Source organism: Homo sapiens, chromosome 1, assembly GCF_000001405.40.
Source record: "Homo sapiens chromosome 1, GRCh38.p14 Primary Assembly".
NCBI classification, from domain to species: domain Eukaryota; kingdom Metazoa; phylum Chordata; class Mammalia; order Primates; family Hominidae; genus Homo; species Homo sapiens.
Window position 1 is genome coordinate 94,872,346 of NC_000001.11, and position 13,271 is coordinate 94,885,616.

Sequence of the window (13,271 nt, forward strand, 5' to 3'; positions counted from 1 at the left end):
TCAGCCTCCCAAAGTGCTGGAATTACAGGTGTGAGCCACCGTGCCCGGCCTTTTGTTTATTCATTCTTTTTTTTTTTAAATCACTTTAAGCATTGCATTCCTCTTCAATGCTTTGTTCTTCTTCCAGCAGAAGTGGGAATGGGTATAGGCAATGAGCTGTGGGCTAGTGTCAGAAGTCTGAGAACCACCATATCTATACCAGTCTCCTGGGAGAAGCTTCCAGGTAAAAATGACTTCAGTCAGGTATAGCAGCAGTTTGCCTCTGCCTCTTCATTATTTGAGTAACTTGGGTGAGTCCCTTAAACTTGCTGAGCTTCTGCAATATGAAAGGGTTAGATTCAGTGACCCCCAAGGTTCTTATGTGGCTTTTTGACCCTTGTCATGGCATCCAGCCCAGAGCTGGGGGCATGCACAGTGCTGCCCCACAGCATCAAAGCCATGAGATGCTTTGTGTGGGAAATGGGGGGAGAGTGGAAAACAATATGAGCTGTTTGTTTTCCTGTGGTGTTCCAAAATGACAGGCTCATTTCTCTTCATGATATACCTTGTATCCATGGTGAGGACTTATCCTAGAACCACAAAAATCAGTGATGTTTCATGTTGCCTCAATTCTGAGGCACTGGAATCTTGTAGAGTTGTCTGAGAATGTGAATGAACAAAGAGGAGCCATTTATCTGTATCTACTTACAGCGATCCTGCCAGTAGTTCTGCTATAACATATAGTGATAAATAAAATAACTGGTGATGAGATACTGGTCAAATGCCAGGCAGCTCAGTCATTCTCAACAGTAGGAGTGTACTGTAATGTCCAATGCCTTTCACAGCCCTTTTCTGCCTTGGGCTATCATGCAAGATAGCTGCGAGCCTGATGGATCTGTGCTGCATCCCCTTGAGGAGGGAACCAAGTGACCCCGATGCACCTTGATGCAGTGTGTAAAGCGTGCAGCTTACTTTCCTTTGTCATCCCTCTAGATAAGATCTAGTAAGTACATGTACAGATTGTTGCCTCTTGCTATTTGATCAGAAATGCCAGCAGCTTCCTGTCTTTCTGACTGATGAATATACTGGTCAGAAAGGTCCCAGATAATCTTGTGAAGGTCAAGGCAGAGAAAAACCTGCTGCTTCTGGGGAAATATACACCTCTCTCCCCTTCTTACCTCATAGTGCCTCTCCCCAACCTGCTCTGCCTGCCAAGACTGTTTTTAGTGAACATAATGTTGGTCTCTGTCTTCTAAGCCTTTGCGGCAGACTCAACTTTGTAGTATCTCCAAACATTCTCTTCCCCCGCCCCTTTCCTTGCAGTTAGCTCTGTTTCAATGACTGTCTTTCTCGTAGTCCATCAATAGCTAAAGCACTCAATGACTTTTCCACATCAGGTTTGGTTGGTTCATCCCAAGCCAGTTGGCAGATCTCCAGTGACTCCTCCTTTCTGCTCTCCCAGAGCAGCATGTGCATCTCAGAAAAAAAGTAAAAATATTGTACAGTTTATCTCACTAGATTAGGAAAATGATGTAAAGTTTCTTAAGAAGAAACAGTTCTTTCAGAAGCTGGCATTGCCATAATAGGTAGTCTCATCACGTAGCATCCAGACAGCCATTCTTTCAGTGACAGCGGTGGTTCTGAATCCTCCACCCCTGCTGACTGGTTTAGAGCTATTCTGGGCAGCCAGCTGATGTTGAGAGCTCTGGAGAGATGCCTCGTGTGTGCGTGCTTCAGAAAGAAGCTCACATGTGTGTCAATATGATAGTTTGCATTAAGGCCCATTTATAGACAATGGTAATCCCCACACCCAGCTGTTGTGTGGCAAATGCTACTACCCTGGCTTTAGATAGAAAGGAATTAAGACACCTATTTTTCAGAGGCCCCAGGCTGTCTGGGAGAAAACAAACTGAATCCTCATGTTTCCTGGTGCATGGTTCAGAAGCTGCCAGGCATATGGCTGTGGCTTAGTGTGGCTTTCCTGGGAGCAGCCTCTCTGGAGCCTAGCTCCCACCTGCTGTGGGCATGTTACAAGACTCAGGGCTCAGGAGGGTGAGGCCCAAAGCCCTCTTCTCCAAGTGGGCCTTAGTGCTCAGTCCTTTGGGGTAAGGCCCAGTGAGCAGCCGCCATGTTAAATTGGACTCTGAAGTGCTTCCTGACATGAAATTTCAGTGCCTTCTCAGAGAGGGAAGTAATGTTTGTTGAATGAATTATTGCATGAGAAAGGGAGGGAAAGTTATATAAGGGCACTCAGGCAGCTAGGAACTCCTGCGAGGCAATTGAGTGGTCAGTGCAAATGACTTCGACTTCCTCCTAAGTGTGCGGCTCCCGAAGACAAGAATACCAGCCACTCACTGGCACTTACTATGTACCGGATACTGTGCTACTTTATGTGTATCAACTACCTATAGCCTCACAAAGTAGCCTGTGTAGTATTTTTTAAACAGATGATAATACTTTGGTTCAGAGAGCTTAAGTAGTAACCTGACCTAGGTTAGACAGGAGGAAAGTAGCAGAGCTGACTCTTGAAGTTTTGAAGACCCAGTAAGTCATTTCCTCTTCCTTGTCCAAGTTCTGAATAATTGTGAGATGTAAGAGTCAAACAGATGAAGATTAAAAATATCACCTTGAATATGAAATCATCTGATTGGAAAACTACCACAGGAACAGCTGTAGGCAAGTCGGCTTGTCAATGTTTTACCCCTGAATCAGAATGACCAACCCACCTTTTACCAGGCCCAGCCAACAAGGTGAACCTCTCTATGGATCTGAGAAAGGATGTTCCTGGTGACAGGTGGATCGCAAAAGAGAATGAGGAAGGGCCTGAGCCCGCCTACACTCTGCTGCTCCCTCCAAATTTGCCCAGTCCCTTAAGTTCACCTCCTTCCCTGAAACAAATGAGAGGCATTAGCCTAAAGGAAGTCCCTGACCACAGAAACCCAAAGCCAGGGAAATCAAGACTAGCGCCACAATGGGATTTAGAGCCAGGTTTTCACCAGTCCACTAGGGCACTCCTTCCACAGGGTAGGGACTCAGAAGCCCAGAACTTTAGAGATCATGAAACAGCCTCCCCTCATAATAGCGGAATCTGGGGTCCAGAGGGTTTGAATGCCTCACCCAGGTTACATGGTGGGCAGAGCTCATTCTGATTCCATTCCCTATCCTGCATCTTCTCTTCCTTGCCCCTTCTGAGCCTCCTGGAGGACAGACAGGTGTGTCACTTTACACAGTATGTCTACATGAGCTGCCCTGGGGTACCTTTTGGCAGAAATCTATGTAAATCTCCCCCATATCTTGGGCAATATGGAGGAGGCCATGCTCATGGAGGCAGAAGGGTGAGGAACATTTGCATCCTGGGAAGTTTGGGGTCTCACCTTTTATTAATGGTAGCAAGGGCAACTGGGACTGTTTCCAACAACACTAGTTGAAAAGGTCAGCTAATCCAAGGAGTTGCCATTTGTGTAAATCTGAGCCTTCTTTCATAAGTCTGAACTCCATGTAGAACATGAAGCAAACCCTTTATGTTCTTTGTGCCTTCCTGTCATGACATGTTCTAGGTACACTGGAAATATGCTGAGGGAGACTGCCCAGGTTTTTAACTTTAAGAAATCCACCTTTGAATCAGCACATCCAGTTTCCTCATAAAGAAGGAAGCAGGTGACATGTGAAAACACTGTGTTCTGATGAGCAGTGTTCAGATGTGGGGATCTGGCAGCTGAAACTGACTCCTCCTATGCCCTCCCACCCACAGGTTATTGTGTGCAGTGGACACCACGCTGCCTGGGCTAGGCCGGGCCGGGCCGTCATCTGTGATCACAGCTAGGCAAGGGCTAGAGTGGGGAGGTGCCTCAGAGTGGAAAAGGGAACTTTCCAGTCTAAGTTGTTAACATTACTCCCAGTGCTCAAGAAATGTGAAGAAGATAGATTAGCTTCAACGTTTCCCAAATTCACTTAGTGTGGAAAATAAAATGAAACCATTAAATAGCTCCTACACCAAATGTCCTCTTCCCTTAGGATAGAGAGCAGGATTCTTTGGGGCATTGCTCTTTGTCTGGAACAGTTGTTGTCCAAGGGGTCTGACTGCCCACCTTGAAGTCCATGCTCTTGTAAGCAAGGCAGTGACTGTAGGCACGTTCCTCGGCTGTCATTCTTATTTGTCCTACGGCATTAAGACTTGTTGAGAGAAGGAAGTGATGACTGGCCAGAGACTAGAGAATGCATTCATAAAAAGAAAAAAGCATATGAAAGGAGATGTGAGTCACTGTGGCTGAAGGAATACATGCCACTTTGATTTAGCAGTCACTAAGTCATGTCCTGCTACAAGCAGGACTCCCATGACACCCCAGGCCACCACCACCTGAGTCTCATCTTTGAATGACTTCTACATGCTATGAAGAGCAGCTGCAGATTCAGATGTGCAGATGATACTGTATCATGTCTCTCAACCTGATTTCTAACTTTGAGTTCTCATGCCACTGGACGGGTGGAAAATTTAATTTGTTATTCTTGAGCTATCCCTCCTCGGAGTTATATGAGGTTTCAGGTGTCCCTAGACATTAACAGATATAGGTTGCCCTTGAGACATCATCCTCCCATCTTTATGGCCACTCAGGCCCTGCTTGGGAAGTAGGAATCTTTTACCTATGGTCACCTATGGTCCTATCTGCCTTGATGTGCTAGCACTAGGTGACTACCTGTCCTGGTCACCTAGAAGCCCCATGTCTCTGGTACCCCCTCACTCCCAGGCAAACCAGGACCCTGGAAGTGGTCAGAGAAGAGCCTTGCCACTTCTCCAAGCTGTGTTTAAAAAAAAGGTCGGGGGCAGACCTGGACCTTCAGTCAAGACCCATAGACCTTTGTTTCCTCTTCCCCCAGCCCAGGAGAGTGTCATTTTCTAATGTGGGGCTGGAGGAAACCTGCACACTCGCCTGCTGCTCCAAGGTGTTTGGTCTATATTGGGAAACCTCTTTCTTCACCTTTTCCCCTGGTAGGTAAGGGCTTAAAGAGCCTAAATTTTGGAAAACAAAAGCCAGTGAGAATTGAAGACTGGATGTCTTCTTGCCTCCACTCCCCACCTGGCCCCCTAACCTTAACTGGGGGAATGAGCACAGAGCCCGAGTCCTGCTTGAATGGGGAATGTGGAGAGAAGAGAAAGGAGAAAATACACAAGGCGGAGAAACAGAAGCAAAGAGAGCAAAGTCAACCATCATACATGTCTTAGGGATGGCTGGACATTCCTCCTTCCATTGAGAGTCCCATCTCTACAGACATTTGAGAAACAAGTTTGTGAAAAGTAGAAGAGGAAGCGGCTAAGAGAATTTTGCTTCAAACAGCTTTCTTATCTAGGTGGGGCGAAAAAGTTCCCAAAAGTTTTGGCAAGTGGATCCAGGCTTTGACAATGTTTCAAGTGGTTTCCTCTTCTCTGTCTCCTGCCTTCTACAGAATGCCTCAGTTGGCATGGGTGGGGTAGAGAGAGCATTTGCTAGACTTGCATTCATCCCAGGAACAAGACAGCTGAGGTTGAATGACTTCATCGGGATGCACCCCAGTGTGGGTGGAGAGGGGTGCTCTGGGTGTGTTTGCCATGCCCACGTCTTGCTTCCATCAAAGCAACAACAGAGAAATTTGGGCTGGACGCGGTGGCTCACACCTGTAATCCCAGCACTTTGGGAGGCCAAGGCGGGTGGATCACGAGGTCAGGAGATCGAGACCATCCTGGCTAACACGGTGAAACCCCGTCTCTACTAAAAATACAAAAAATTAGCCGGGCGAGGTGGCGGGCGCCTGTAGTCCCAGCTACTCGGGAGGCTGAGGCAGGAGAATGGCGTGAACCCCAGGGGGCGGAGCCTGCAGTGAGCCGAGATCGCACCACTGCACTCCAACCTGGGCGACAGCGAGACTCCGTCTCACAAAAAAACCAAAACAAACAAACAAACAAAAAAAAAACAGAGAAACTTGGTTGGGGCCCAAAGAATGCGAGGCTCCTGACCTCGCTTAGTGCCCTGTCCCCAGTCCCCAGCCTGGAGCTTGGCCAAAGCGGACCTTCCATGTGTGTCCATGGATTGAAGAATGAATATGAGGACCCGAACGCCCTCAGTATCAGCCCCGGGTTCATGCTGCCTTCACACAGCTTTTTAACATATACCAAAAGGAGCAGGGAGGCAATAAAGGAAAAATAAATACTAACTCAAAGGAGCTGCCCTTTCTTGTTGGACCTGCTGTAACCACACTTAGAACTGACTACAAGGGAAACTACTTTCTGAGCAGAAGATCCAGTGGAGAGAGGAAGCTAAAATGGGAGGGACAGATAGTCTTTGAGGTTCAGAAAGAAAATATCTGTCACGCTACAAAGCCACAGTAATGAAAATGGTGTGGTACTGGCATAAACATAGATACACTGTGCTACATAGATCTATAGACCATGTGAACAGAATAGGAAGCACAGAAATAATGCCTTGCATATGTGGCCAAATGATTTTTGGCAAAGATACCAAGACCACACAATGGGGAAAGGACAGTCTCTTCAACAAATGATCTTGGGAAAACCAGATATCCACAAGCAAAAGAATGAAGTGGGACCCTTACCTTATACAGGAAAATTAAAATGAACTAAAGACCTAAAAGACCTAAAACTATAAAACTCTTAGAATAAAATACAGGAGAAAAGTGTCAGAACATTGGATTTGGCAGTGATTGCTTGGATATGACACCAACAGCACAGGCAACACAATAAAAGTAGACAAATGGGACCACATCAAACTTAAAAACTTCTACACATCCAAGAAAATAGAGTGAAAATCATCCTATAGAATGGGAGAAAATAAATTATATATGCTTAGAAGTTACTGTCCAAAATACATAAGGAACTTCTACAATTTAACAACAACTACAAAAAAAAAAAACCCGATTTTAAAATGGGCAAAGGACGGCCGGGCGCAGTGGCTCACACCTGTAATCCCAGCACTTTGGGAGGCTGAAGCGGGCAGATCATGAGGTCAGGAGTTTGAAACCAGCCTGACCAACCTGGTGAAACCCCATCTCTACTAAAAGTACAAAAATTAGCCAGGTGTGGTGGTGCATGCCTGTAATCCCAGCTACTTGGGAGGCTGAAGCGGGAGAATTGCTTGAACCTGGGAGGCAGAGGTTGCGGTGAGCCGGGATCATGCCACTGCACTCCAGCCTGGGCGACAGAGCGAGACTCCGTCTCAAAAAAAGAAAAAAAAAAAAAAAAAAGGCTGGGCGCAGTGGTTCATGCCTGTAATCTCAGCACTTTGGGAGGCGGAGGTGGGCAGATCACGAGGTCAGGAGATCAAGACCATCCTGGCTAACACGGTGAAACCCCGTCTCTACTAAAAATACAAAAAATTAGTTGGGTGTGGTGGCAGGTGCCTGTAGTCCCAGCTACTTGGGAGGCTGAGGCAGGAAAATGGTGTGAACCTGGGAGGCGGAGCTTGCAGTGAGTCGAGACTGCGCCACTGCACTCTAGCCTGGGCAACAGTGCAAGATTCTGTCTCAAAAAAAAAAAAAAAGAAAAAAAAAGGAAAAGGACTTGAAGAGACATTTCTTTAGAGAAGCTATACAAATGGCCAATACAAAAAGACACTCGATATCACTAATCATTAGGAAAAGGTAAATCAAAACTGCGATATATCACCTCACACCCATCAGGATGACCACTATCAAAAGAACAGAAAATAAGTGTTGGTGAGGATGTGGAAAAGTTGGAACTCTGTGCACTGTTGGTGGAAATGTAAAATGTTGTAACTGTTATGGAAAACAGTATGGAGTTTCCTCAAAAAATTAAAAATGGGTCTATAATACTATATGATCCAACAGTTCTGTTCCTGAGTGTATAGTCAAAAGAATTCGAAGCGGGATCTCAGAGTTACTTGCACACCTGTGTTCATCACAGCATACGCTCAATGGCCAAGAGGTGGAAGCAGCCCAAGTGCCCTCAGCAGATGAATGGATAAAGAAAATGTGATATAGTCATACAGTAGAATATTATGTATCCAAGTATATTTCTTCTTTTCCTTAAAAAAGAAGGAAATCCTGTCATATGCTACAACATAGATGAACCCCAAGGACATTATGCTGAAGTATATAAGCCAGTCACAAAAGGACGAATACTGTATGATTCCATTCAGTATTTCCAATCATCCATATAGTATGATTTCTTTCTCAACCTCAGTACTGATTCCATTCATACAGTATTTGTCTACTTTTACTGTATTTGTCAAATATGGTATTTTGACTACTTTAGATACTTTAAATGCTGAATGTAGTAGTCAAAATACTGTATTTGGCAAACACAGTAAAAGTAGACACTGTATGAATAAAATCATGCAATATTTGAAGTATCTAAAGTAGTCAAAAATCATGGAAACAATGTAAAAAGGGCGCTGGGGGCTAGGGAGAGGGGAAATTAGTGTTTAGTGGGTATAGGGTTTCAGTGTTGCAGGATGAGAAAGTTCTAGAGATCTGTTGCACAACAATGTGAATATACTTAACACTACTGAACTCTACAGTTAAAAGCGGCTAAGATGGTAAATGAATGTTCTACATTTTTTTTTAATGACAAAAAAAAAAAAGGCAAAGAGCTGGTGTGGTGGCATGCACCTGTAGTCACAGCTACTCCGTGGGCCAAGGCGAGAGAATTGCTGGAGCACAGGAGTTCAAGGCCAGCCTGGGCAATGTCGTAAGACCCCGTCTCAAGAGAAAGAAAAGATATGTTACTACAGTGAATGTCTCTGAAGCAAATGCCTTTAAATTATAAACGTTTTTCACTGCAAGGTGGACCAAACTATGTTACCAAACGATAGTTATTCCCAGCAGCCAGTGACTGGATTTCTGGCCAGGCTGTCTGTCACCAGGCCTTCACCAAGCAGCCTGGCAGGGCAGCTCTGGCTTCCTCACCCCTAGGCTCACCAACAGTGTGCTTGTGGAGGCACATGCACCTGACTTGAAATTATCTCCCCAAAACATGCAACACATGAAAAACATGAATGTTCCAGTTTCTGCTCTCCACCTCTCTCCCACCATTTCCTCAGTTCTGGGCTTCAAATCAGAGAAGGTTGACATTCTCTTAAGAACCAATCGGCCAGGCGCGGTGGCTGATGCCTGTAATCCCAGCGCTTTGGGAGGCTGAGGCGGGCGGATCACAAGGTCAGGAGATCAAGACCATCCTGGCTAACATGGTGAAACCCCGTCTCTACTAAAAATACAAAAAATTAGCCAGGCATGGTGGCGGGTGCCTGTAGTCCCAGCTACTCGGGAGGCTGAGGCAGGAGAATGGCGTGAACCCGGGAGGCGAAGCTTGCAGTGAGCTGAGATCATGCCACTGCACTGAAGCCTGGGCAACAGAGCAAGACTCCGTCTCAAAAAAAAAAAAGAACCAATATTCTGCCGGGCACGTTGGCTCATGCCTGCCTGTAATCCCAGCACTTTGGGAGGCTGAGGCGGGTGGATCACAGGTCAAGAGATCGAGACCATCCTGGCCAACATGGTGAAACCCCGTCTCTACTAAAAATACAAAAAAAAAAAAAATTAGCTGGGCATGGTGGCACGTGCCTGTAGTCCCAGCTGCTCAGGAGGCTGAGGCAGAAGAATCGCTTGAACCCAGGAGGTGGAGGTTGCAGTGAGCTGAGATCGCACCACTGCATTCTAGCCTGGGTGAGAGAGCGAGACTCCATCTAAAAAAAAAACAAAAAAACAAAAACCAACCTTCTAAAGTCTGTAAGTCCCATAGACATCCACTGAGTTGGCCCAGTATGCCAGGCACCATGGTAAACATTTGGCATACACAGTCTAAGTTTATCTTCTCTAGGACTCTGCGTATTAGGTAGGTATTATCCCCATTGTACAAATGAGGAAACTGAGCCCCAGAGGATGAAGAGCATGTCCAGGGTGACAGCACTACTATGTGGTCATCCTCGTGGCTCCAAAAGCTGTGGCCCACTGGCTTTGCTGTGCTGCCTGGAGTTCCTTGCCAAGGATAAGTGTAAAGAGGAGGAAACCAGGGAGTGGCGCTCACTAATAGGGACGAGCCCATCTATGTCATCTTCCTTCTGAGGAAGCTTGAAGTCAGTAACAGCCCAGGCATTCCCCGTCCTCCGTGTTTCCCATGTCACAGGTCCACTGTTTAATTTTGCCTTCCAGAAAGCCAGGCCTTGCTTCTGATTTGCTCCTTTCCACCACTGATTATGCACAGGTCAAATGGGATTAAAGGATGTAACAGCACTCCAACTGGGAAAGAGCTTGGGGGATGAAGGTGACACTTCGACACGGTCCTCTAACTTGGACCTGCCTCTTCGTTAGGAATCATTGTTCTGGTGGGCTTTCCCTGCTGAGTGCAGAGCTTTGCTGGCAGATCAATGAAGGATCAAGTCCAGCAAGATGCCGTTGCCTAATGTGGCCTTTTCTGAATTTGTGGGAGGACAAGGCTTATCTAAAACAAAGAGCACTGGCTATGAGCACCTGATTCCTGTTCCATCTTTGTCGCTTCCTCTACCTGGTCACAGCCTGTCGAGATTGCCAATTCCTCATTGGTGAAATAAGAGCATTTTTCTAGGTGATATCTAGGATGCCTTTTAATCCAACCATTCTGCTGAAAGAACAAAGGGATCAATCAATTGAATTTGGGTTTCATATGAAGAAATATTATTCAGAAGACATTATTGGTTTGCCAGAGGATCTTTCTTTATCTGTTCAACAAATATTAGCCCCACAGAGAGGCCAGGGGTCAGAAGGCATTTCAGCAGAGAGAACCGCATCTGTGAGTGGAGGAACCGCAAGGGCCTTCCAGGATGGTGTGAATGCAGTGGCCCACAGCAGGTGTGTGAAGGGGCAGGCATGGTGGCAGTGCTGGATACACCTCATTAAGAAACAAAGACTAGGCCGGGTGCGGTGACTTATACCTATAATGCCAGCACTTTGGGAGGTCAAGTTAGGCAGACAGCTTGAGCTCAGGAATTCGAGACCAGCCTGGGCAATATGGCATGAACCCATCTGTACAAAAAACTACACAAACTTTGCCAGGTGTGGTGGCGCATGCCTGTATTTCCAGCTACTCGGGAGGCTGAAGTGGGAGAATCACCTGAGCCTGGGAGGAGGTTGAGGCTGTAGTGAGCCATGATTGAGCCACTATACTCCAGCCTGGGTGTCAGAGTGAGACCCTGTTTCAAACAAAGCAAACAAACAAAGACAACTTAGATGTAGAGACTTTCATCATCAAAGAGGCTATAAGTGTTCAAAACCCTGACAAAGTCAGAATAATGAAACTCACTAAAATCAGGATGCAGGAGAAGGCGTGAGAGGACTCAACTTTCTTATCTACACTGCCTAAACTTAAAACCCTATGTTAAAAAAACAATAAGTACTCTAACTTCCTAATGTTTCAGAAGACTTTTTTAAAACCTACGTCTTGTGTGTGAAGGTGCAATTTGTCTGAAATTTGGGTATCCCTTCAGTGTCAGTTTAGTTTCATTTTCGTTTGTTGAAGTCAAATGAGCATTTGTCCTTTTATTTAAAATACCATGGAGAGTATGAGTTCATTATCGTAGCGCATGCTCAGTGTATCCAGCCTGCCTTTCTTCCTCTGTGTATATTCACAGAGGGGTGCTGGGGTGAAGGCCAAGCAATGTTAGCAGTGGTTATTTCTAAGGGGTGGGATCACAGTGGCCTTCTTGCTTCTTTGTCTCTGTGTTGTTTGATTTTTTTAAGATTAACATGGAAATAATAAAGCCATTCTAAAAATTAAGCAAAAAGAAAAGTTTTAAAAGAGCAAACAAAATAGCACGACCCTGTTCGTGGCTTCATAGGCAGCTCTCATGTTTGTCCTTCCTTCTTCCACCCCACCTCCCACCTGGCTGCAGCCCCAGGGGACTGGCTGCTTTCCCTCCTCACCATCTCATTGGATGTTTGTTTGCATCCTGGTGACCGGTGCATTCCTGAAGGGATCTGAACGGTGAATGCAGGGCCCTGGAAGGCCCAGAGGCTGTGCACTGCCTCACTCCACATGTGTTTGTGATAAAAACAGGGCTCAAGATGAAACTGGTCTGGGACGGTTCCTGCCAGTTTTACTGTAGGTCCAAGGAAGGCCCCTGGATGTATGGGGATGTATCTGGACTCGGATTTCACTGTATTTTTTTTCAGTTCTGAGGAAAGTATGAATGCCAGTGTTATTTATTCACTGTTCAGTTTCTCAAGTTTGTTTTAGTAGTTCTTGCTTTGAGAATAAATATCGGAACTCTGTGAGGAAGGCATTCCAGAAATAAAGCTGGCTATTCATGGCATGGTTTTTGGCAAATACCTTCCCTCCACTACGGAGGGAAACTCTGTTTACCTTTTTGAAGAGTCGGCAGAAACCCAGGTTCACAGTTCTGCCACCAAAAGAAGAAAGCAGTTCAGTTCAGTGAGAGGACAGACTCAGCATGATGGACAAAAGGCTGAGCTGTGCTGGCTAAGCGTTTGATTTCAGGAGTAAAAAAACGCTCTTTCTATGTTAAAGCTGCAATTAACGTTCTTGGATAGCTCTCACAGTAACTTAAATAGGTAATCTAGATTTTCTCTTACCTAAAAGGACACTTAAATCTCATTTTCTTCAATAATTACAATTTTCTATAAAATGAGAATAATACCGGCCAGGCGCAGTGGCTCACGCCTATAATCCCAACACTTTGGGAGCCCGAGGCAGGCAGATCACATGAGGTCAGGAGTTTGAGACCAGCCTGGCCAACATGGTGAAACCCTGTCTCTACTAAAAATACAAAAATTAGCCAGGCGTGGTGGGTGCCTGTTGTCCCAATTACTCAGGAGGCTGAGGCAGCAGAATCAATTGACCACAGGAATACAATCGCGCCATTGCACTTTAGCCTGGGCGACAGAGTGAGACTCCCTCTCAAAAAAAAAAAAAAAAAAAGAGGCAGCAGGGAATAATACCACCCATGGTGATTATTTCACTGAGTTGTGGTGAAAACAGATGAGATCTAATGAGACGATGATCCGAGGGTGACTGGCCACGAAGCACAAACATAAAGCATCATGGAACATTGGAGTTGGTGGAAGTCTTTTCCAAGCAGCAAAGTGAGGGCCCTTGAGAAGTGACGTGATTTGGTGGAAGCCGTTCCGCAAGTCTTTGGAGGCAACATGACTGGAATCCAGCCTCTTTCCACTAAGCCATCCTGCCACATCCTCAGCTGTTTTCAATGGTGCATCTCATGAGAACACCACTTTGTTATTTTGAACTTTCCAGGAGAAAAAGCACAAAGTACAGCTCAAAGTAAAGTTTTCCA

The 13,271-nt window shown here is 45.7% G+C and overlaps 1 protein-coding gene across 22 annotated transcripts in view, besides 2 other annotated features; it reads left to right on the plus strand.

Moving 5' to 3' along the window:
• The window catches only part of SLC44A3 (solute carrier family 44 member 3), a 74,891-nt gene that overhangs the window by 51,989 nt on the left and 9,631 nt on the right, over nt 1-13,271 (plus strand). The window lies entirely within an intron of this gene.
• Nucleotides 1,528-1,697: an enhancer, noted in NCBI's record as "experimental_9624 CRE fragment used in MPRA reporter constructs". NCBI's record gives its function as "activates a minimal promoter by MPRAs in K562 erythroleukemia cells, with activity observed for both the introgressed and non-introgressed 1:95339514 variant alleles {active_cell/tissue: K562}" and the evidence as "EXISTENCE:reporter gene assay evidence [ECO:0000049][PMID:34662402]".
• Nucleotides 11,922-12,808: an enhancer, noted in NCBI's record as "H3K27ac hESC enhancer chr1:95349823-95350709 (GRCh37/hg19 assembly coordinates)". NCBI's record gives its function as "activates a minimal SCP1, AML or CMV promoter by ChIP-STARR-seq in naive H9 embryonic stem cells {active_cell/tissue: H9 hESC(naive)}" and the evidence as "EXISTENCE:reporter gene assay evidence [ECO:0000049][PMID:30033119]".